At 41.9% G+C, this 25,025-nt stretch overlaps 2 protein-coding genes and 1 long non-coding RNA gene across 13 annotated transcripts in view, besides 1 other annotated feature; 1 reads left to right on the top strand and 2 right to left on the bottom strand.

The window, feature by feature from the left end:
• The window catches only part of ZNF230 (zinc finger protein 230), a 10,968-nt gene extending 4,712 nt beyond the window's left edge, over positions 1-6,256 (bottom strand). The window contains exons 1-4 of the mRNA NM_006300.4: positions 6,106-6,256; positions 2,120-2,202; positions 297-423; positions 43-129 (exon numbers count right to left, since the gene is read on the bottom strand). Coding sequence (NP_006291.2) covers positions 43-129; positions 297-423; positions 2,120-2,134 — 229 coding nt within the window. The 5' untranslated portion in view covers positions 2,135-2,202; positions 6,106-6,256. The remainder of the gene's footprint in view (positions 1-42; positions 130-296; positions 424-2,119; positions 2,203-6,105) is intronic.
• Positions 5,984-6,493: an enhancer, noted in NCBI's record as "active region_14748". NCBI's record gives its function as "activates an Ori minimal core promoter by ATAC-STARR-seq in GM12878 lymphoblastoid cells {active_cell/tissue: GM12878}" and the evidence as "EXISTENCE:reporter gene assay evidence [ECO:0000049][PMID:35858748]".
• Positions 6,343-12,317, top strand: ZNF230-DT (ZNF230 divergent transcript). Its single transcript, NR_110727.1, has 3 exons — positions 6,343-6,948; positions 9,981-10,690; positions 11,418-12,317. It is a non-coding gene; the product is annotated as a ZNF230 divergent transcript (long non-coding RNA).
• Positions 10,887-25,025, bottom strand: ZNF155 (zinc finger protein 155). Of its 11 annotated transcripts, none has more exons than XM_047439370.1 (6): positions 24,865-25,025; positions 20,655-20,754; positions 19,101-19,189; positions 17,539-17,665; positions 17,279-17,371; positions 10,887-13,120 (listed from the first exon to the last, which is right to left on the bottom strand). In XM_047439370.1, the coding sequence occupies exons 3-6, from the start codon at positions 19,146-19,148 to the stop codon at positions 11,739-11,741; spliced, it is 1,650 nt and encodes a 549-aa protein (XP_047295326.1). In that variant the 5' UTR covers positions 19,149-19,189; positions 20,655-20,754; positions 24,865-25,025; the 3' UTR covers positions 10,887-11,738. The 11 variants fall into 11 exon arrangements, with proteins under 11 accessions (XP_047295326.1, NP_001247417.2, XP_011525580.1 ...); NM_001260488.2 differs by having other exon boundaries at positions 24,968-25,025; XM_011527278.4 differs by having other exon boundaries at positions 24,982-25,025.

Genomic DNA, 25,025 nt, shown 5'->3' with positions numbered 1-25,025 from the left:
AAGAAAGTCATGTACAAGGACACACAGTTGCTTGCTTCTTACCTGAATTTCCTTCTCTTTGGGTTGCTGTCTCCATCATCCAAAACTTTTCTTCCCTTAGGAAGTGGAAAGGGTGGAATGGTTGATGCCCTGTGAACATGCAAAGTCATGTGCTTAATACCAATTCATTCTAGGTAATATCAAGGTAAAATTTACTGGAAATTTAAGTTCCCACTGCATACACAAACTTGAATACTCTAGGATACAAAGCCACTCCTGAGGCCTGATGTACCATTACAGAGGGTGCCTGTGCTCACCCACTGACAGCAGGTTCGTGAAGTTCTCAAGCATCACGTCTTGGTACAGCTTCCTCTGGGCAGGGTCCAGTAGCCCCAGTTCCTCCTCAGTGAAGAACACAGCCACATCCTTGAAGGTCACTGCCTCCTATAACATCAAGGATACATAACCTCAATCCTATGACCATGGACTACTGGGGGAGGAGCAGCATTGAGCAGGCGGAGAGGAGAAGTGGAGGTCAACTTATAGATTTCCCACTCATTCTGTCTGTATCCTGACAGTGATTTTCCTGAGCTCCACCAGAAGTGCAATCATGAAAAAGACCTCCTGTATTTTTACTTTGTGCACTTACTGAGTCTCCTTGTAAGTAACCCCTTAGGATTTCAAATGGTGCATCCTGGGCTACACCTATATAGGTTTCAATGAATTTTGCCAATTGCCCCAGTTGCCCCAGCAACAATGAGCAATTCAGTCTCAACCTTGTTTGATGAGGCTTATTGTCCTCCTCTCTCAGACCCAAACCCTGGATGCTATCACTTTTCTTTAGTATTTGCCAAACTAACAGGTTTTAGGTAACTATTTTCAAAGTAGCCTTGGATCCATTCTCCCCACTTTCTTGTTTATAGGTCTCAAGAATAACCATAAATGTGCTAGTTATGCAGTGTCCTTCCCAGGGAAGATAACATCTTTTTATTTTTTTTTATGCCTTCTTTGGTTCTAGTCCAATCCATAAAAGATAATATCTTGAGTTAGAGAGGAACTGCTCAGTAAGTCATGTTACCCCTGAGGCATATAGCCTGGGACAGGCTGCCTCTTGGGGTGCCTCAGCTATGGTGCAAATGGGGCAAGTGCAGTCGTGACTCCACCCACTCTAGGCAGCTTTCTTAAGCCTTGGAGGACTGGCTCACAGTGGATCATAGGCTTCTGTTGTCCCTTGCTACCTACATGTAATAAATCTGCTTTATGTAATTTGTCATACATGAGTGTGCTCTCTCATGGTAGACTCGCCAAGTCTGTAACTAGTGAACCTGTTCCATGGAATTGGTGCAGCCAGCAGGGTCCAATTTGACAGAACTCTGGACTGGCAAAGGGGGAGCACTTATATCCTGGGCAATTGGCCCAGTGCTGTGATGGCAGCCTGGGGGCGCAGGCTGGACAGCAGCTTGATGATTTATAAAGAAGACAGAATGATAAGCGGGACACAGGCCACCCCTCCACAGATGTGAGCTGGCTGCATGGATTGAGACAGAAGGACAGAATACGGAAACACAGGAGCTTGGTGTGTGATCCGCTGATTGCGACACCTTAAATAATAGCTCATTCCTGGGGCCAGAGGACTCAGGAGGTGGGTGAAGTGGGTCAGAGGGTCCCTGGAGCATCTAAGAGAAATGGAGCCAACATGCGCAATGTGGGCCTCCACAGAAAGGGGGACTAACTATCTGATGGACAAGTATGAAGAAAACCAGAAGGACATGTTATCTTGGTGTATAGAGCACTCTTGACATAAGGAACTCCATCATCAATACAAATACAGTTATGAATGTACAAGGAACAGCACAAGAAGAAAAATCAGGCTAATTTGAGAGCAAGGAGGTGAAGAAGTGGGAGCACTGTTCATTCCTACTAATTTTTCTACTCCATAATGTAACAGTAAAAAACAAAACAAAACCCAAACCAAAAACCAAATGCAAAGTCAACACAAAAGAGACAAAGGAAGCAACTGGCACACAACAGGTCCCAAATGCCCATTTCCTCCTTGAGTCTTCCCAAGACAGAGAAAAATATATGACAATATGAGCAATAAGATGGAATTTTAATAGCAAGAGAGGTGAGCTCTACTCACCTTGAATGTGGTCATTTTTCCTACTACTTTTTGGAGTCTTCAGTGTCTTGAGTAATGGAGCACAAAGGAAGGTGGAATTGTGCCTGGAAAATGCCAGAGACAGCAAAAGAGAGACATGAAATGGTGGCTGGGGAGGCTGTGTAGCAACAAGCACATGTATTATGAATGATCACAGCAGCATTATTCATACTAACCCCAAAACTGTGCACAACCAAAATGCCTTCCTCTGGGTAAATGGATAGAAAAATCATGGCATATCCATATAATGGAATCTAATTTGGAAATTAAAAGGAATGAAGTACCAACCCATGCTACAACATGCACAAACCTTGGAAACATCATAAGAGAAAGAAGCCAGTCACCAAAATCCATGGATTAGATGATTCCATTTATATGAAATGTCCGAATAGGCAAATGTATACATAGAGGAAAAGTAGGTTAGTGGTTGCTCCAGATTTGGGGTGAGAATGAGGTTTAATTGTAAATGGGCACAGAGTCCAACTGAGGGTGAAAAATAACTAAACTGAATTATGATGATGGTTACTCCACTTTACAAAGTTCCTAAAGATCACTGTACTCCTGAAATGAGTGAATGCTTTATGTAAAATATACCTCAATAGAGTTGAAAAAAAATTGCTAATCCACATGTCATTTACCTTCATAAGACTGAATTCTGAGTCCATATTGTTGGGAGATTTATACTTGAACAAACAAATGAATAAATGAAGAGAACTAGAAGTTCATCTTTAGTAGAATGCCCACTAATAATGTACCTTCCAATAAGAAACTTGAGTTTTTTTAAAAAAGGTAACTTTACAGCGGACAAATCTGAAAGGCATCATCTTGGCCAAGTGAACACAGTTGAGATCACCAGTGAAGGGACAAACCACATCATGTGAACCCTGTTATGTTGCAATAAAGAGGAAACCTCATCACTTGTGCAATATCCTTACCAACAATACATAATCTGAAACTAAACATGAAATATATCAAACTCCAAATGAACATCTTTCTCCAAAATAACTTTCCTATTAAAAAAAAAACCACCATGTTTATAAAAGACAAAGACTGTGGAATCTTTCTAGACTAAAGAAACTGTGGAATGTGACAACTAAAGACAATGCATAAACTGGACTTTGAATGGCATTGCAGGTGAAGGGTGGGGTAGGGGACACAGTCATAAGGACTTTATTTTTTTATTTTTTGAGACAGAGTCTCGCTCTGTCACCCATGCTGGAGTGCAGTGGCGCGATCTCAGCTCACTGCAACCTCCGCCTGCTGGGTTCAGGTGATTCTCTTGCCTTAGCCTCCCAAGTAGCAGGGATTACAGGAGCATGCCACCACACCCGGCTTTTAAAAATATTTTTAGTAGAGACAAGGTGTCACCATGTTGGCCAGGCTGGTCTCGAACTCCTGACCTCAGGAGATCCACCCGCCGTTGCCTCCCAAAATGCTGGGATTACAGGCATGAGCCACTGTGCCTGGCATAGGACTTTAAATGAAAAACTGAACAAATTTAAATATGTAACTACAGATTAGATAACAGGATGTTAGGTAATATGCTATTCAACACTATCTAATGAGTAACACTACAACTACTAGTAGTCTTTTAACAGATCTGATATGTAATAGATAACAATATTATTTAATATCTAATATTATCTAGCATGTTATGTGAAACCCTATACCATCCCTTCTTAAATACCTCTTACCAACACACCCCACATTTACCATGGTATGTGGGCTTCCTTGCTGCAGAAAGCCATAATCAGCTGTCTCTGGTTAGTTATGTTCCTGGTGGTATTTGGCTGATGGTCATCAACAAAGCAACCAGGAAAAATGTAAACAATTGGCAAATTTGGATAGAGTATGAGAACTCCTTATACTATTTTTGCAACTTTTCTATAGCTTTTAAATGATATAAAGATGAAAATATTTTATTTTGTTTTTAGTTTTTAATTTTTTTTTTTTTGAGACAGAGTCTCGCTCCCTAGCCCAGGCTGGAGTGCAGTGGCGCGATCTCGCTCACTGCAAGCTCCGCCTCCCGGGCTCACGCCTTTCTCCTGCCTCAGCCTCTGGAGTAGCTGGGACCACAACTGCCTGCCACCATGCCCAGCTAATTTTTTGTATTTTTTTTTTTAGTAGAGATGGGGTTTCACCATGTTGGCCAGGATGGTCTCGATCTCCTGACCTCGTGATCCACCCGCCTCGGCCTCCCAAAGTGCTGGGATTACAGGCGTGAGCCACCGCGCCCAGCAAAAATATTTTAGATATCAGGAAATAGTCATAAGGATAATGGGAATAATAAAATTGAGCATTATATAATATGGCAGTTCACTAGTTTATTCTTTTTTTTTTTTTTTTTTTTGAGTCTCACTCTGTTGCCCAGGCTGGAGTGCAGTGGCGTGATCTTGGCTCACTGCAACCTCCACCTCCCGGGTTTAAGCAATTCTCCTGCCTCAGCCTCTAGAGTAGCTGGGACTACAGGCACGTGCCATCACGCCCGGCTAATATTTGTATTTTTGGTAGAGATGGGGTTTCACCATGTTGGCCAGGCTGGTCTCAAACTACTGACCTCAAGTGATCCACCTGCCTTGGCCTCCCAAAGTGCTGGGATTATAGGCATGAGCCACCACAACCAGCCTCACTAGTTTAGTCTCTATTAGCAATATTTAAAATTTTCTATAGTTAAAAGACATATGGGAAAACACATTAAAATATAACAATTTTTAAAAAAATGTTTATCAACAAATATAGAAGTAGACACAAAGAAAGACAAAAGAAATCAATTAGAAGCTTAACAGTTACTACCTTTACATCTTGGATACATGGGTAATTAAAAAACTTTTTCTACTCTCATTTCTCCTATTTCAGACTTTTCCACAATGATACAGTTCCACAACAGTACGAAATACTTGGAAAACATGAAACAAAATAGTTGAGAAATTTTTAAAAATTCCTAGACGTCCAAGCCCACGAGCCTTGCTCTCAACGTCCTTTCAATCAGGTCCTAACTTGCTTTCCCTACGAGTCCAGCTAGTTCCTCTGCCTCAATGAGAATGTATCCAAGAGGTGATCAACTCAGGCTCTGACCTGGACTGCCTAGGTGCCAACCCCAGCTCTACCTCTCACTAGTTGGCTGCTATGCACCCTGTGTCTCACTCTCATTTTTAAAACAAAGAAAAGCAATACTTCACAGAGCCACAGTGTGGCCTAAATTTATTTGTATAAAGCACTTAGAATGAAGTTACCAATTACGGCTTAATGATTATCAACACCCATTCCCGAGGACACACTCTCGGTTGGGTGAACATCTCTATAAAGGAAAAAAGCCAAGGACCAATCACATAGAGATTTGCCCTCAGTAGCCAAGAAGTCCCCTCCCTGCAGCTCTTTTAGAAAGGTCAGGCTGGGGAAGGCGAAAGTTGTGAAATACCCTGACTGCATCGCGGTCCCCCATAAAAGTTAAATGCTCCCCGCCCTTCGTGGAAGCGGACGCAACTCGCTTTCCTAAAAAGAGGTCAGAAGGCCTCCCGGGATCATCCAGCGTCCTGCAGGGATTAGGGAGAAGGACCAGGGCCCCTGCAGCTGAAGCTATGACTCCACCCGGGGACCTGACCTCTTCGGGAAGTTAACAAGAGACCACCAGTCACCAAGTGACAGGGACTGCTTTAAGGTTCTCATTTGCGTTATCTCTTTCAGTTCCCAAAAACGATTCTACTAGGATGGTTCTAATGTCCCCATTACCAAAAACAGCAATGGAAAGTATAAGGACATTGAGTAACACTCCACGTCACACTGCGAGAAAGCGGTCGCACAGGTAGGGTGGAGAGAGGCAGGCTGAGCGAGGTCAAAGTCCTGGAAACGCTCACAGCAGGGCACAGAGGACCCCGCCAATTCCAACCCCCGGGATGCGAGCACAGCACCCCCATCCCAGAAAGCTTCCGTGGACGGGAAAAAAACCCCATTCCCCGCCCCCACCAAACCTCCGCTCTCCGCCAAGGCTTCTTTTCCCTTGCTTGGATCATCGATCATCGGGTCGTTGCGACCCCAAGCGAAGGTGACAAGTTCAGAAGGACCCGCCAGACGCAGAAATGGCTCAAACTACGCGGTTATGTAGCAACCGCAGGCTCACACACCGGAAGTGCTCGCGTCTCCACAGAGCGTCTGGACTCCACTTCCCAGAATTCCCCGGTTCAACTGCTTGAGCCAAAGGGTCCGCCATTCCATGAAGTTGATGGACTACAGTTCCCAGAATTCACTCGTCCACCCGCCTGAGCCAACTTGCCCGCGACTCAGAGTGTGTCTGGACTCCGCTTCCTCCAATGCCAAAGGAAAATGTCTATAATCTCACTCTTCAGCGGGAAGCGTTGGACTCCGCGGTGGTCCTTGACTACACACACCGCAGTGCCCACCGGGAACGTATTCCATATCTCTGAGCGCCTGGTGGGGAATGTGGACTGTGACCCTGTGAGTCGTCCGTCTCTCTTCCTGAGTCTTTGAGCGAAAATAGTGTATAGACAGGAATTCCTGAAGTCTAAACGCCTCCCACGATGACAGGAGTGTTATTGGGAAGAGAACAAACGAGGAGATAAAATCTTCAAGGATTAGGATAATCTGACGATGGGAGGTTAAAACTAACGGTTTAAAGGATGAGCCAGGTGGAATGGTTTGGCAGGGGCAATGAGGAGCAGGAAGACACCAGCCCCTACTCCAGAAGCTGTGGGACCACTGGTTTGGCAGGAAAAGCCACCCCCATTTAAGATCACAGCTACTAGTGGAGAAGCGGTGTCGTCATGGAATAGCTATCTTCCCATAAACTTTTCATGGTATTCATATTTCTCCTTAGATGTAGAAACATCAAATTTCAGCGAATGTAGTGAATTGCTCAGTACCTCAGAGCAATAATGACTGATGAAGAGCTAGGCATTGGTATCAATCTTACATTGAGATTGTAAATGCAGTAAAACGGGAGGATTCTATAGGTGAAGGAGCATGTCTTATAAAGAGTTTTCTTCCTGGCCAAGCGCAGTGGCTCAAACCTGTAATGCCAACCCTTTGGGAGGCCAGGGCAGGACGTTCCCTTGAGCTCAGGAATTGGAGACCAGACAGGGAAATACAGGGAGACTTCGTCTCTATAAAAATTTTTTTTTAACTGGCCAGGCATGGTGGCCTGATCTTGGGACTACAAGTTCCAAGTACTCAGGAGGCTGAGGTGGGAGGATTGCTGAAGCCCAGGAGTTTGATTGAGGCTGCAGTGAGCTATGATGCCACCACTGCCCTCCAGCCTAGGCAACAGATACCTCAATAATTAAAGATTTTTTTTTTTAAGTTTCTTCTTATTTCTTGGTGAAACATAATTTCTTTATTATAGTTAGCAATTTAAAAACTGGCATTGGTTAAAAAATAATAACAGTATAAAGCTAAATTAGGAAACAATTCATCTAAAAACCTGCTCTTTTGAAGGTAACTTTTTTTCTCCCTATAAACATACATTGGCCTATAAACCAATATTCTTCTTTTTAAAAAAAATGGAGTCTACTGTTTACCTATTTTTCTAAACTAAAAACTTTTCAAAATTTTGTTTAGACACAAAAATAAGGTGACTGTGCCAAACTTTTGATGCCAAACATCCGCTCTCTGAAAATTGAGTGATCACTATTCATATGCCAGTTATAGCTGTATCCTTGATCTACTCTGCCTTCCCGAAAGATAAGATGTATTGACACACTCAATCGTAGCATGCAGGGAACTGAGCCTAAAAGGTTAGGGGCACTTGGCATCAAAGGTCCCTTCTGCTTCCCAGGTCCGTGCACTCTGGGTCTGTGTTGGGAGGAGCAGCCTCTATGATCTCCTAGATGCCTTTGGGGTCATTCTTCCAGTGTTAATGGACAGCAGGTCCTGGCTTCTGTTGACATGACCAATCCAAACTAATCTCCTAAATCAGTTGCTTATCTCTACCGTTGTTTTATCCAGAACAGGTTTTCTAATTTTTTTTTCCAAAGTAGATAGGCTGTGAATTTTTAAAATTCTTAGTTCTGTTTCCCTTTTAATTAATAATTCTGACTTTCTGTGGTGTCCCTCCCACATGTGGGAATTCTGGGAGATACAATTCAAGCTGAGATTTGGGTGGGGACACATCCAAACCATGCCATTGATGACACTGACAAAAACAACAGGGAAAGGACTCCCTATTCAATAAGTGCTGCTGGGATAACTGGCTAGCCATATGCAGAAGATTGAAACTGGTCCCCTTCCTTACACCTTATACAAAAATGAAGCTGGGCGCTGTGGCTCACCTCTGTAAAAATGGGTAATAATGTCCCCACTTTTAGTTACTTGAGTCTTTTTTAGTCAGTCCTGCTAAAGTTTTCACAATTTTGTTAGTCTTTCAGAATAATCAACTCTTGGTTTGGTTGATTTTCTTTGTATTCTTCTTCTGTATTTTATTTATTAATACTTTAATCTTTATTATTTCCCTCCTAATCACTTTCTGTAAGATTCTCCTTTTCTAGTTCATGAAAATAAAATTAGGCTGTGGATGTCAGATCTTTCTTCTTTAATATAAGCATTTACAGATATAAATTTCCCTCCTCCTACTGCTTTTGCCTCATTCCAAAAGTTTTGGCCATTGTTTTCATTTTCAGTTGTCTAAGGTATTTCCTAATTTCACTCCTGATGTACTCTGACATATTATTTAAGAGTGTGCTGCATGCACACGTATGTTTATTGTGGCACTATTCACAATAGCAAAGACTTGGAACCAACCCAAATGTCCACCAATGATAGACTGGATTAAGAAAATGTGGCACATATACACCATGGAATACTATGCAGCCATTAAAAAAGATGGGTTCATGTCCTTTGTATGGACATGGATGAAGCTGGAAACCATCATTCTGAGCAAACTATCACAAGGACAGAAAACCAAACACCGCATGTTCTCACTCATAGGTGGGAATTGAACAATGAGAACACTTGGACACAGGGTGGGTATATATATATATATATATATATATATATATATATATATATACACACACACATACATATATACATATATATACATACATATATATACACATACATATACATATATATACATACATATATATACACATATATATATAAAGAGTGTGTTTAGTTTCCACATACTTGTGAATTTTCCACTTTTCATGATGTGATTGAATTTCAGCTTTTGTGATCTAGATTATAATTGGAAAAGACTTTTATGGTATTAAACTTTTGAATTTATTAAGATGTTTTATTGAATTTATTACAACGTTTTCAGCCTGTAGTGTGAGAAAAATTACAAATTATTGTTGAATTTATATTGTATTCAACCAATGGAACACTACACAAAGCCACAAATACTAAGAATGCAACTTCGGAATAGAGGAGGAGGGGAAGACAGGAACCAAGTGTGAACAGATATTATCAAAATAATGCTGTGAACTGCAGTATTTAGTGTACTCTGCATTTCAACTCAGGTGTCCCTGAATTATTTGTAGATTTCCTCTCTTAGATACAATTTAAAAACATCGCGTTTGCTCCTTTTAATTCATTTAACACATAGTGAACACAAAGTGATAATCAGTGTTAAAGTTGTGAAGATGCAGCAGAAAACACATGTCACTGACATTCTAGTGGTAATCAACTTTGATATGTTCATGATTCGTTTTGTAAATGCATGAATGAACTCTTAAGGTCTGTCTCCTGAATAACTGTAACTGTCAAACTTTTGTTTGAAGCCCTACTGCACAACTTACAAGGGTTCTCCACTGTGACAGTCCCAGGACCACTGGGGTATGCTGAGCTATGGCTGAAACAGGCTTTAACTTAAATGTTTTTTCTCCTACAGGACTGGATGAAATGTATCATCAGCATGGATTCTGTGATAAATTACAAGATACAAACTCAAAAGGAACTGCTTTCTATGTGCCTCATATTTTAATGTTTCTCCCCTTTGTGAATGCTTAGGTGAGACTGTAGTCATGAAAACTGAGTAAAGACTTTATTACACACATTACTGAGGCTTCTCTCCAATGTGGACATTCTGAAGTTGAAGACTTGAGGCCTGAATGAAGCACATACCACCCTCCTCATACTTCCGTAGTTTCTCTCCCGTGTGGAGCTTCTGAAGCATAATAAAATTCAAGTGATCCAGCAATTCTATTACTGGGTATATCCAAAGGAAAGGAAATTAGTATGTCACGGAGATATCTGCACTCCCAGGTTCATTGTAGCACTACTCACAATAGTCAAGATAAGGAATCCACCTAAGTGTCTATCAATACATGAATGAAGAAAAGGTGGCATATATACACAATGGAATCCTCTTTAGACATAACAAGGAAACAAAATTTTATCATTTGTGGCAACATGGATGAGTTTTCAAGGACATTGTTAATATAAGCCAAGCAAAGAAAGAGAAATACTGACTGTCCTCACTCATATGGAAGTTAAAAAAAGTTGATTTTGTAGTAGAGAGTAGAACAGTGGATGTAGACAGGCAAGGAAGTGTAGGAGGTAGGTGAGATGGCCAAAGGTTGGCCAACAGATACAAAAGAGGTAGAGGGGAAGAATAAGTTCTACTGTTCTGCAGCACTAAAGGTGACTATCATCAACAATTATTTACAAATTGCTAAAAATGTGTTGTAGTCTCACAAATGCACCACACTGTAACAGTCTCTCTGTAACAGTCTCTCTTATCCCCCGGAGTTCTTAATCTCACGTCCAATATGATTAAGAAGCACAGACACAAGGGTGAAATTGGAGTAAAAGTTTAATAAGTGAAAGAAAAAAGCTCTCCACAGTGGAGATGGGGATCCAAATAAGTTGCCCAGTATGAGGCTGGGGTCCGGGGTTTTTATGGACTGGGAAGGGGAAGGAATGCACTTAGCCTGCGGGCTGTCTTGGAGAAAGCGTGATTCAGCTTGGTCTGGGACCTTGGCCCGGGACCAATCAGGAACCGAAGTGATGATTCATAAGGGCTATTCAGCTTGGCCCGGGACCAATCAGGAGTTGAAGTGATTATTCCTAAGGGCTATTCAGCTTGGCCTGGGACCAATCAGGAGCTGAAGTGATGATTTACAGAGGCTGGGCTTTTCCTTTTCCACAAAAGAAAGTGCCAACCTGAACCTACTGAAGCCCACTGTGTTCATGCCCACAAAAGAAGAAACTTTTTCCTCGGAGCCTGCTGATTATACAAAGGACAAAGGCATTTCTGTGTCTGGTCTTGTTCCCTTAACTGAGTGAGCCGGAGGTTTGTGCGAGTTTTTACCTGAATGGGCTGGAGGTTCTTCTATCTGTGCAGCCATGGGCATGTCTCCAGGCACAATCCCCTGTGCTAGTTCCCTTATCAGTGCCTGTAGCTTGATTGTCTTCCCCAGGCTGCTTTTTGTGTTATGTGGGGATGAGACACTGACCCGTTTGGCTGGGGGTCTCCAGGGACCCTTCCCTTGCTGTCTACCAACTCCTCTCAAATGGATTTTGAATTTTCCAACACAAAGAAATGGTAAATGTTTGAGGTAACAGATACACCAATTACACTGATTGGATCACTATAAATTGTATGCACACATTAAAATAGCACGTTGTACCCCATAAATATGAACAATTATGTGTCATTTAGAAATAATGATAAAAGTATATCCAGATTCAAGCGCCTCTTGTAGCGTCTCCCACAATCCTCACATTTGGATGGGTTTTCCCCACTATAGTCTCTCGGCTGGTCTTTACGGTATGTCCTGTGTACAAGCCTCTTTCCACAGTCCTCACATTTGAATGGTTTTTTCTGGCAGTGGAGTCTCTTATGATTCAAAATACTTGAGGCCCGGCTAAAGTTCTTCCCACATTCCTTACAATTATAAGGTCTCTCTCCCGTGTGGACCCTCTGGTGCAAGTCAAGATTAAACTTAGTAACATAGCCCTTCCCACACTCCTCACATTTATATGGCTTTTCACCACTGTGGGATCTCTGATGGGAAGACAGTTGTGAATTTGTATAAAATCCCTTTCCACATTCTTCACATTTGAAGCTTTTTTCTCCACTGTGGACTCGCTGATGGTTCAAAAGGCATGAGGACCATCTGAAGCTCTTCCCACATTCTTTACAATTATATGGTTTTTCTCCTGTGTGGACCACCTGATGCTTATAAAAATCTAGCCTACCAATAAAGCCTTTTCCACACTGCTCACATCTGTACGGTTTCTCTCCTGTGTGGACCATGCAATGCCTATTAAGTGCTGATCTCTGATGAAAGCTCTTATCACATGTATCACACCTAAATGGTTTTTCTCCTGTGTGAACCATGGAATGGCTCTTAAGTCTTGACCTAAAATAGAAGGTCTTACCACATATATCACATTTGAATGGTTTCTCCCCAGTATGGATTCTCTTATGTTCCTTAAGCTGGGAATCATGAATGAAGGCCTTCCCACATGCCTCACAAATGTAAGGTTTCTCTCCTGTGTGTAATTTACGATGAACATTAAGTGCTGATCTACGACTGAAACCTTTCCCACATTGCTCACATTTGAATGGTTTCTCTCCAGTGTGGACTCTCTGATGAGTTTGCAGATGTGAGCTTTGACTAAATTCCTTGCCACACACATCACACATAAAGAGTTTCTCTCCCACGTGGACTCTCTGATGAACATGAAGAGCTGAGATGTAACAGATGCTTTTTCCACACTCATCACATGTATAAGACTTCTCTTCTGAGTATAACTGCTGAGGAAGATCAAAGATGGGAACATCACTGATGGACTGTTTACACTTCCCACCCTGGGAAGGTTTCTGTCCTGTATGAATTGTGGGTAGTCCTGCTTCAACCTGGGAGGGGACATCACCATTTTCAAAGAACTGAGAGTTATTTATGATAGAGTCCTGAGACCTGGTTAAGTCTTTTGCAATTTGTTCCCAGATTTGCTGGCAGGACCACTCTTCATGTGCTCCTGCTTCTGGAACAGACTCCAACTCAGTTTGGATCTTGCCTCCTATAAAGACACAGATTTAAGAGATGTGTACAGGTGAAGCCTTTATTCAGTGATCTCAAGGTTTCACACTTAGGACATGACATTAAACTTTAATGAATACAGAGAATGTTCAGTTTGTTTTCCAAGTACACCCTGATTTCTGGTTTGCATGAGGCCAATTCAGAACCACATCATGTCTCACATGTGAAATCCTTGATAGAAATAATAGACTTAATTTAAAAATATGATATACATTTAACTTGTTACTATTTGTAATGAATTTCCTAGTCAGTCCAAAATCTTGCATGATAAATTATGAAAATAAAAATTTATGTACATAATGAAATATGAATCAAAAGGAACTTTAAGGAAAAGCAATAACTTAATCAACACTTTGTATATTTGTGTTTATGCTGTATATCCTTATAAAGAAGTTAAACTAGGCCAGGTGCGGTGGCTCAAGCCTTTAATCCCAGCACTTTGGGATTGATCACTGGAGTCCAGCAGTTCGAGACCAGCCTGGGCAATATAGCAAAACCCTGTCCCTACTAAAAATACATAAATTAGCCAGGTGTGGTCGTGCACTCTGTAGTCCCAGCTACTTGGGAAGCTGAGGTGGAAGAATTGCTTGAGCCTGGGAGGTGGAAGTTGCAGTGAGCCCTGGGTGACAGAGCGAGACCCTGTCTCAAAAAAAAAAAAAAAAAAAAGTGCTGGATGCAGTGGCTCACACCTGTAATCCCAGCATTTTGGGAGGCTGAAGTGGGCAGATCACTTGAGGTCAGGAGTTCAAGACCAGCCTGGCCTTGAAACCCCGTCTCTGCTAAAAATACAAAAATTAGCCACGTGTGGTGGCACATGCCTGTAGTCCCAGCTACTCAGGAGGCTGAGGCAGGAGAATTGCTTAAACCTGGAAGGCAGAGGTTGCAGTGAGCTGAGATTGAGATCGTGCCACTGCACTCCAACCTGGGAGATAGAGCGAGACTCTGCCTCAAAAAAAAAAAAAAAGTTAACCTAACCAAAAAGAGGTTGGGACTTTGTCCTCAGCATCTGAGAGGTAATCTCTAGGATCCTGAAGTGTCATACCTCAGGAGAGTGTCTTGGTTGGCTTGAAGGCAATCACTGGATCACTCTGCATAGTGAAACAATATAATTTATGGTTGCAACTGGCAAATCCTTTGGGGGATTGGGAGTGGGAGATGCTCCTCTCCATGTCAGAAATAAGCAATGTGATTTAAGGTGGAGCTTTAGGTCACAGAGAGTTAGTGGACTAGGAGACTGATTAACCACCTAGGAATCATCAATCAATACTGGCTCCATAATGGAGACCCAATAATTACTCTGGATCCCAGCACTTAGGTGAGTTTCTGTGACTGACAGTACTTTGAGTCTAAGTCATACCTTAATCCTGGGAATGTAACACATCCTACTCTGCCAGGAGAATACAATAGAAGGTCCGCATTTGGTTATTCTCATCTGGACCCTGTTTTATTTGGTTTTTCTCTAAGTATAATATACATGTTTTCCCTGTAAAAATCAGTCAGTGAGAATAAAAGTATTCAGTGAGTTCTGAGAGTTTAGAAAATTATTGAATGCAAAGGCAGTTTTGAAAACCTCCTGAATTTGCACTTGGTGTGAAGTGAGAGCAGTTCTCTGTAAAATGTCTCAGTAAATTTTGTAGTTGGTTGAACTCTGCACAACATTAAACATCAAACACTTCATAGTGTTTCTATGTACACATTCAAAGTATCCCTGCACAAGAATTTTGCACAGCATATGTAAAATACTTCATCTTACTTTTCTGTATTGATGTGGAGAGTAACTTGGTTATCTGAAGGAGTACAGAGACACACAACTACAGTTTTGAGGGGAATCTGAAAGGCTGTCCTTCCAGGGGTCCACAAAGGGGGATGCTCCTGAGCAGACAATCAAAAATGTGAAGAATCACATGAAATGAAAAGAAAGCCTATGATGCAGATAAATAGGACTTTATAACTTTTTATATTGAAGACTACACATTAGTGAGCTATGAAATACAGTTAAACTCTGCAATAAACATTTACAAAAAAGAACTGGAATGTAAATTATCACAGCATCATGACAAGCAGGAAAGTGGTCATTCCATGAAATGCCTCCTAGAGTCACTCATACACATCTACAGGCATGAAAAATGTTTGTCCGGGTTATATTGAAATATGTGCTTCTTACTATGGCTCATGCTTGCAAAACATTCAAAACTTTGTCAGGATAATACCAAGTCCTGAATTAAGTAAATTCTTCCAATGGAAAGTTAAGTTGCAGAGGTTGAATCTTGGAAAGGATTTATAGGTAAGTGTGTACCTATTGGTATACAGTGGTACGTAGATATATTTAATACACTGTCACTTATAAATAAGAGGTCTTGGCTGGGCATGGTGGCTCACATTTGTAATCCCAGCACTTTGGGAGGCCGAGGCGGGTGGATCACCTGAGGTCAGGAGTTCGAGACCAGCCTGGCCAATGTGGTGAAACCCCATCTCTACTAAAAATACAAAAATTAGCTGGGTGTGGTGGTGGGCACCTGTAATTCCAGCTACTTATGAGGGTGAGGCAGGAGAATCACTTGAACCTGGGAGGCGGAGGTCGCTGTGAGCCGAGATTGCACCATTGCACTCCAGGCTGGGTGACGAGCGAAACTGCATCTCAAAAATAAATTAAATTAATAAGAAATCTTTAAGGAGAAAGGAGAATCTTCAGGATGTTTCTAGTTTTAGAGGGCAGTTTCCCAATTCCTAACAGGTCATAAAGTTCACCAGTTCAAAATACAGCACTAAATCTATAAAAATCAAGAAAAAATTGTGTAAAATCTATATCCTTTAATGTTTTTGAAAACAAAACTTGTATGACATAAAGATGCAGAAATAGACACATTTATGAAGAAAGAGGACCAGAAATAGAGTAAATGTTCAGCTACATGACTTGTGTCCCCTCATCCTCATTCTTCCCCCTTCTAGTACGAAGGAGGAAGCTGGGGCCAGTGAAGTGTATATAGACTTTGGAAAAGGCAAATGGGCTGCAGATGGGTAAATCTTTCAAAGGAAATGTAGCTGGAAATCCTCATTCAAAAAGAATTTCTTCCCAGATATAAATATGCTCCCTATGGAAAGCTCCAGGATAAGTCTCAGGGAAGGCATCTTACTCAGTGTGGTCATAAAAACAATGCTTAGAAGTTTCCACGGGACGTGGGTCAATTGTACACACCTGAAACCAATCATGTCAAGGAACCTAAGAAAGTCAGAATTGGATAAGCAGCCATCAGCAGGCCAAAAAAACTGTTCTGCAATATACAGTCAGCCTTCCTATTATGTTACACAGCAAGGGGGATTAAAACGGCAGACGCCATAACGGTCACTAGTCACCTAAGCAGAAGGTAGGAAGATCATCCTGGTTTATGCAGGAGTGACCAATGCAATCACAAGGGACCTGAAAGGTAGAAGGCAGAGGCTTAGGAAGAGTGGCAGAGGGAATGGGATTATGGAAGAATGGTCAGAGATGCAAAGTAGCTGCCTTCGAAGATGGAGACGTGAAACAAGAGCCAGGGAGTGTGGACAGTGCCTAGACACTGGTAAACCAAAGTGAAGTTTTCCCTCCAAGAACATTCAGGCAGAAACAAAGCCCTAGGGACGCTTTGATTTTTGCCCAGTGAAATGTATCAAACTTCAGGCCTAAAGAACAGAGAGATAATAAATATTTTTGTTTAGTCCACTAAGTTTGTGGTCATTGGTTACCACAACAGGCAATACAGTGTCCTTGGCAGGACAGAAACAGCAGGGAAGAAATGTGGCTGGAAATGATGGAGAAAGATGGAAAGGACACACGTAGTCAGAGAGGCAGAATGGGATGAAGAGCAGACCACATAGGTCTCTAAGATGCACTTAAAGAGGTTGTAACATCAATAAAAATAAGAAGTTATAAAAGCTTTTGAGGAGAGGAATGACAATCTGACTTCCATTTCCTAAGGATCGCTTTGGCTGCCATGAGAACAGATATTAGGGTGGGAACAGGGCCACCAACTGGAAGGCAGTTGTAATAATCCAGGAAGGAGATGTGGTCATTTACATCAGAGCAATGCAAATGGGCATGGACAGAAGCACAACAGGTGGGAGAGTCAGGTACAAGGACACACAGATGCTTAGTTCTTACCTGAATTCCCTTCTCTTTGGGTTGCTGTCCCCATCATCCAAAACTTTTCTTCCCTTAGGAAGTGGCAAGTATCTTGGTGGAACGGTTGATGCCCTGTGAATAGGTAAGGTCACGTGCTGAATCCCAACACATTCTGGGTAATATTTAGGCAAAATTTACTGGCTATTTAGGTTCCCAATGCACACTCAAACTTGAACACTCTAAGGTACAAAACCACTCCTGAGGCCTGATGTTCAGACACAAAAGATGCCCGTGCTCACCCACTGAGAGCAGGTTCCTGAAGTTCTCCAGCATCACATCTCGGTACAGCTTCCTCTGGGCAGGGTCCAGCAGCCCCAGCTCCTCCTCAGTGAAGACCACAGCCACATCCTTGAAGGTCACTGCCTCCTACAACATCAAGAAGACATAACTTCAATCTTATGACCAAGGACTACTGGGGGAGAAGCGGCATTGAGCAGGGGAAGGGGATGAGTGGAAAGTTGTTCTCAGTATTGAGGGATGTAGGTCAACTTAGAGATTTCCCACTCATTCTGTCTATATCCTGACAATGACACATACTGATTTTCCTGAACTCCACCAGAAGTGCAATGATGAAGTCTCATACATTTATTCTGTGCACTCATTGAGTCTACTTGTATGTAACCCTCTAGGACTCTACATGCTGCATCCTGAGCTACCCATATATAGGTTCGACACATCTTGCCAACTGCCCCAGCAACATTAAACAATTCAGTCCCAACTTTGTTGGGTCCTCCTCTCTCGTACTCAAACCCTGGATGCTATTGCTTTTCTTTAGTATTTGCTAAACTAACAAGTTTTAGGTAACTGTGGGTAATTTTCAGGGTGGCCTTGAATCATTCTTTCTTGTGTATAGTTTTGAAGAATAAACATAGAACATGCTAGCAATGCAATGTTCCTGTCCTTCCTAGGGAAGATAATGTCTTGAGTTAGGGAGAAAGTGCCCAGTAAGTCGTATTGCCCCGGAGGTATATAACCTCGGGTGGGCTGCCTTCTGGGGTACCTCTGCTCTGGTGGAAATGGGGTCAAGATTCTACCCACCCCAGGACGTTTTCTTCAGCCTTGGATGGCCACCTCACAGTGTATCCTACACTCCTGTGCTCCCTTGCTGCCAATTTGTAGATAACAAATCTGCTTCACGTAATCTGTTGAGTGAGATCGTGTTCTGTCTCACAGGACTCACACAAGTTGGTAATCAGTGCACAGTGAACCTACTCCACAGTACCAGTGTGGACAGCTGAGTGGGACAGTTATGTAGTGTGTCCTCTACTCTCAAGGTACAAACCACAAATGTTAATTGCAGCCTTCAGTGTCCTGATCAGAAGCCAGAATGCATCACTGTACATCCTAAGGGTCTGCCCCTTCCTAACTGTGTGGCCTTAGACATGTTTGCCTACAGGATTTACTTTCCTCTCTAAATAATAGTCCTTATTTGGCACAGTATTTTAAAGGATTAAACAAGGAAATACATAGCATTTGGAAACATCTGTGCCACTGTTTAATGAACATTAGCTGGAATCTTTTTTACTGTTGTTACTAGCATTATCTATTTCATGGCTGCATAGTATTCCAGAGATCTGATGACCTACTTTTAGCTACAGTAAAGAATATTTAATTTTACATATTTTCCATTATCAATCCTGTAAAGAGCATCATTAAGTAATGATGTAGCAAGATGTAAGAACATCTTACTCTCTCATTGTTTAAAATAATAATTTCAAATGAAAATTAAAACATCAAAAAATAAGCACATTTAGAACTGTGATCATATAACTGCATGCTTTCTTCCCAGTTTTTTACCTACCTCCATAATCTTTGAACAGAATACAAGTACTTTGCTTCTCTTTATCATGACCAAGAGCAGGTTATAAGTATTCCCACAGTCTTGGTAATCTGATTTGGGGAACAAATCATTCTATTATTCTCACTTATTTGATTACAAATGAAAACCATCACTTTTCAAGGTTATTGGCCATCTCTACTTCTCCTTTTACATTGGCCTTTTAGTGTCCTTTGTTCCTATCTGTTTGGAGTTTTTCCTTTATTCTGTGCTCAAGGTTTTGATTTTGAATTTTATTTTCTTTAGGTATCCACGTGGCTAACATTTCTGCCCCAGGTCATTATTTCTTCTGGTAACATTGTGTGAGGCATCTTTTGCCAAAAGGGATTTAAAGATTTTCTATAACAACTATGGTAATCAGTATACTTCAGTGCCTGGAGTAGATGCCATGTCATAGTGACATGTGACAAGAAGTCACACCAAGTAGGGACAGGGAGGAGCAGCACCACTAGGGACACCATCACTCCACAGGGCACTCCAGACATCCACATCACAGGGCACAGGTTGCTCAATGGAGAATTCTGTCTCTCTCCTTGTTTCTCTTTTTCACCTGAGCCGAATGGCTAACACTCCTGACCTTTGGTTGCCTGTGTACACCTGAGAAGGTTTCTCATATTTCACCTGTTCAAGAAGAAGAAGAGACCAGGAACCTCATTCCGCTGCGCTGAGGAGTAAATGTAGTAACAGAACACAAGTGATTGGCAAAACTTAGTATCACTGGACATTTTAAATGAAGGCTTTCTACTGCTTTGGTTAAACTGCTTACTACATAAATGAATAAGAAGAGACCAGTAAATAAAGCACATGCAAAGTATGACTGAGACAAGGAGAACACAGAATCTAGCTCTTCCAGTGTGAAAACTCCAACAATATTTGTGTGGTGCAGCAGTTACATCCTTTTGTTCTGTGCCTAGTTAAAATATTCTATCTGCAAAACAGCCAATGTGGTACATATCAAAAGTACCCTTTCAAAATTGAGCTAAAATGGCATATGGTTTTCAAAATTAATTTTGTGGGAAAAGGTTATGTATAGGAAAGCTGTCACTGCAGTGTTGCTTAAAATATGTCTATGAGCGTGAGGTAGTTATAAATAAAAAGATACATCAATGTAATAGGAATATGATGTAACCATAAAAATGGAAGATTATATAACATATAAAAAGAGCACAGTTTACAATTAGATGTATATCATCAATACAAATACAGTTACAAATGTACATGACGAACAGCAGAGAAGATAAAAACAGATAATTTGAGAGAGGGGAGGTAAGGAAGTGGGAGCACTGTTCATTTCTACTAATTTTCATACTCCATAAAATAAATAATGGTAACAAAACAAAACAAAGCAAAACCAAAAACCAAATGCAGTCAACACAAAAGAGATAAAGGAAGCACCTGGCACAAACAGGTCCCCAAATGCCTGTTTTCCCCTTGAGTCTTCTCATGACAGAGAAAAACACATGAAAATATGAGTAGTGACATGGAATTTTAACAGCGAGAGAGGCACGCCCCCCTCACCTTGAATGTGGTCATTTTTCCTCCTACTTTGGGGAATTTGCAGACTCCTGGGTGATGCAGTTTGAATGAAGGAGGAATCCTGCCTGAAACGTGCCACAGTCTGCAGAAAAAGAGAGATGTGTGTTGTGAATTAGCCCATGAATGATCACAGCAGCATTATTCATAATAAACCCAAACTGCACACAACCAAGATGCCTTCCTCTGGGTAAATGGATAGGCAAATGGTGGTGTATCCATACCATGGAATCTTATTTGGAAATTTAAAGGATGTTTCCAAAGCTTGGAAACATCATGCTAAATGAAAGAAGCCAATCACAAAACCCATGGATTATACGATCCCATTTATATGAACCATCCAGAATAGATAATGGTATATAGAGAGAATATAAGTTAGTGGTTGCTCCAGATTTGAGGTGAGAATGAGTTTTTATTTTTTAAGAGATGGGGTCTTGCTATGTTGTCCAAGCTGGTCTCAAACTCCTGAGCTCAAGCTATACCTCCCACCTTGGCCTCCCAAAGTGCTGAGATTACAGGCATGAGCCACTGTGCCCGGCCTGAAAATGAGTTTTAACTGTAAGTGGGCACAAGAAGTCCAGTTAGGGGATGAAAATGGTCTAAACTGAATCATGATGATGGCAAAACCACTATGTGAAATTCCTGAAGATCACTGAATTGTACACCTGAAATTGGTGAATGCTATGATACGTAAAAAATACCTCAATAGAATTGGGAAAAATAATTGTTAGTTTACATGTCATTTAACTTAACAAGACTGAGTCCATACTGATAGAATATTTATAGTTGAAGAAACTAATAAATAAATGGGGGAGAACTGGCAGTTCATTTTTAGAGTGAATGCCCATTAATAATGTATCTCCCCAGAAGAAACTTGACTATTTCTTTTAAAAAGGTAATTTGATAGTGGACAAATCTGAAAGACATCATCTTGGCCAAATGAATGAAGTTGAGATCACCAATGAAGGGCCAAACCAACATCGTTTGGCCCTGTTATGTTACAATAGGAAGGAAACCTTATCACTTTGGCAGTATCCGCACCAACAATGCATAAGGCCCAGAAGCAATAACAATGCATGATCTGAACCTAAACATGAGATATATCAGATAAATCCCAATGAACGTCTTTCTCCAAAATAACTTGCCTACACTCTTTAAAAATACCACATATATTAAAGAAAAAGGCTGTGAAATCCTTCCAGATTAAAGAAGACAGAAATGTGACGAGTAAACACAATGCATATAATTAGACTTTAAACTGGGGTCAGGGTAAAGGGTAGGGTAGAAGATAGTTGTGAGGACTATAAATGAAAAAATTGAACAAATTTAATTATGGAACCACATATGAGATAACATGATGTTATGGAATATGCTATCTAGCACTATCTAATTATAACACTATAAGCACAATTAGTAGTTTTTTAAACAGATATCTAATATTTAATAAATATCATTTAATATGATATCTTAATATTGTCTAGCATGTTACGTGAGACCCTATAACCTGCCCTTTCTAAACACCTCTTACCAAGTCACCCCATGATCACCATGGAATGTGGGCTTCCTTGCTGCAGAAATCTACAATCGTCTCTGGTTACAGATATGTTCCTGGTAGTATTTGGCTGATGGCCACCAACAAAGCAAACAGGAAAAATGTAAACAATCGGCAAATTTGGGTAAAGAGTATATGAGAATTCCTTATACTATTTTTGCAACTCTTCTACAGCTTTGAAATGATATAAAAATGAAAGGTTTTCAACTATCAGGAAATAGTCATAAGGATGATAACAATGGGGGCTGGGCGCCGTGGCTCACACCTGTAATCTCAGCACTTTGGGAGGCCGAGGTGGGCGGATCACAAGGTCAGGAGATCGAGACCATCCTGGCTAACACAGTGAAACCTCGTCTCTACTAAATATACAAAAAAATAGCCGGGCATGGTGGCCGGCACCTGTAGTCCCAGCTACTCAGGAGGCTGGGGCAGGAGAATGGTGTGAACCCGGGAGGCGGAGCTCACAGTGAGCCGAGATCGCACCACTGCACTCCAGCCTAGGTGACAGAGCGAGACTCCGTCTAAAAAAAAAAAAAAAAAAACACAAATGGGAATAATATTGGATGAGCATGACATAATATGGCAGTTTACTAGTTTATTCTCTATTAGCAGTATTTAAAAATTTCCATAGTTAAAGAAATATGGGAAAACACATTAAGATATTATAACAATTTTTTTAAATGCTTATAAATAAATATACAATAGACACAGAGAAAGACTAAAAAGAAACGGAGGAGAACTGGAAGTTCCATCTCTTGTATCAGACAGTTAGCACCTTCACATCTTGGATTCATGGGTAATTTAAAACATGTTTTCTCCTCCTATTAATCTAATTTTAAAATGCTCCACAATGATATGGTTCCACAATACAAAATCCTTATAAAAAGTGAAACAGGATGTTGACAAATTTTTAAAAGACTCCTACAGAAGTCCAAGTCTATGAGCCTTGCTCTCAAGGTCCCTTCAATCAAGTCCTAACTCTCTTTCCCCACCTGATTCCAGCTAGTTCCTCTACCTCAATGAAAATGTATCCAAGGGATGATCAACTCAGGCTCTGACCCAAACTGCCTAGGTTCCAGCTCCAGCTGTACCTCATTCTACTGGGAACTAAGCACCAGGTGTCTCACTCCCATATTTAAAATGGAAAAGAGCGACCGGGCGCGGTGGCTCACGCCTGTAATCCCAGCATTTTCGGAGGCCAAGGCGGTCGGATCACGAGGTCAGGAGTTTCAGACCAGCCTGACCAAAACGGTGAAACCCCATCTTTACTAAAAATACAAAAATTAGCTGGGCGTGGTGGTGCGCACCTGTAATCCCAGCTACTTAGGAGGCTGAAGCAGGAGAATCGCCTGAACCTGGGAGGCGGCCTATTGCACTGAGCCCAGATCGCGCCACTGCACTCTAGCCTGGGCGACAGAGCGAGACTCCGTCTCAGGAAAAAAAAAAAAAAAAAAAAAAGAAAAAGAGCAATACCTTTCCACAGAGCCATGGTGTGGCGTAAATGTATTTATTTCCATAAAGCCCTTAGAATTAAGTTACCAATTAAGGTTTAATTATTATCAACACCCATGCCCAAGGACACATCCTATACACTCTTGGTTGAGGTGAACATCTCTGTAAAAGAAAAAACCGGCCCGGCGCGGTGGCTCACACCTGTAATTCCAGCACTTTGGGAGGCCGAGGCAGGCGGATCACTTAGGACCACAGGTTCGAGACCAGCCTGGCCAACATGGTGAAACCCCGTCTCTACTAAAAATACAAAAATTAGCCGGGCATGGTGACGCATGCCTGTAATCCCAGCTACTCCGGAGCTGAGGACAGAGAATCGCTTGAACCCAGGAGGCGGAGGTTGCAGTGAGCCAAGATCGCGCCACTGCTGCACTCCAGCCTGGGAGACAGAGCAAACCTCATTCTCAAATAATAACAATAATAAAAACAGACTAACAAAATAAATAACTTTTTTTTAAAAAGAGAAAAGCCAAAGACCACTCGTGTAGACAGCTTTGTCCTCAGTAGCCAAGTCCCTCCCTGCAGCTCTTTTAGAAAAGTCAGGCTGGGGAAGGAGAAAGCTGTCAAACACTCTGCGTCGCCGTCCCGGATACAAGTTAAATGCTCCTCTCCCTTCGTGAAACGTGGATGCAACCCACGCCTTCCTAAAAAGAGGTCAGAGGCGTCCGGGATCATCCAGAGCCCTGCCGGGCTCCAAGAGAAGGGCCGGAGCAGCTGGAGCTCTGACCCCACCCGGGCACCTGACCACTTCGCGGGAAATTAACAGGACACCAAGTGACAGGAGCTGTTAAGTCTTTGTTTTATACCACAACTTTCAACTCCTAAAACAATTCTATCAGGATGGTCCTGAAATCCTCATTTAAAAAACGGCAATGGGAGGTACAGGGAGATTAAGTAACACCCCACGTTATATCGCGAGAAAGAGGTCGCACACTTAAGAGTGGAGGGAGGCGGACTGAACGAGGTCAAACACCTGGAAAACCCTCTAAACAGGCACACAAGACTAGACAGAGTTCTTCCCCGCCCCCCCCGAACCCCCGACGACTCCTCCGGTGGACCTGAGTACAGCCCCCAACGCCAGAAGGCTCCATCGACGGCAACGAAACTTCCCTCCCACCCCTCGCATCTCCAAACCTCAGGTCTTCTCCAGGGCTTCTTACCCCCTTAGTTGACCCCCCAGGTCGTTAGGCGCCCCTAATAACTGGTTCACTTTCGCAAAGACCCGCAAGACACATACTTGGCTCAAACCACCTTGTTAAGTAGCAGTGTCCTGCTCGGAGACCGGAAGTGTCGAT

Source organism: Homo sapiens, chromosome 19 (genome assembly GCF_000001405.40).
Source record: "Homo sapiens chromosome 19, GRCh38.p14 Primary Assembly".
Lineage (NCBI taxonomy): Eukaryota > Metazoa > Chordata > Mammalia > Primates > Hominidae > Homo > Homo sapiens.
Note: the sequence above shows the minus strand (reverse complement) of the source record. Positions and strands in the feature narration are given on the sequence as shown.

Coding starts and splice junctions, on each gene's coding strand:
- ZNF155 (XM_047439370.1), bottom strand. CDS start 19,148: ATGATAAAGAGAAGCAAAGTACTTGTATTCTGTTCAAAGATTATGGAG. Junction 17,666..19,100: donor TCTGTTCAAAGATTATGGAG/GTAGGTAAAAAA, acceptor TTGATGTTGTAG/GAGGCAGTGACCTTCAAGGA. Junction 17,372..17,538: donor CAGGAACCTGCTCTCAGTGG/GTGAGCACGGGC, acceptor ACCTATTCACAG/GGCATCAACCGTTCCACCAA.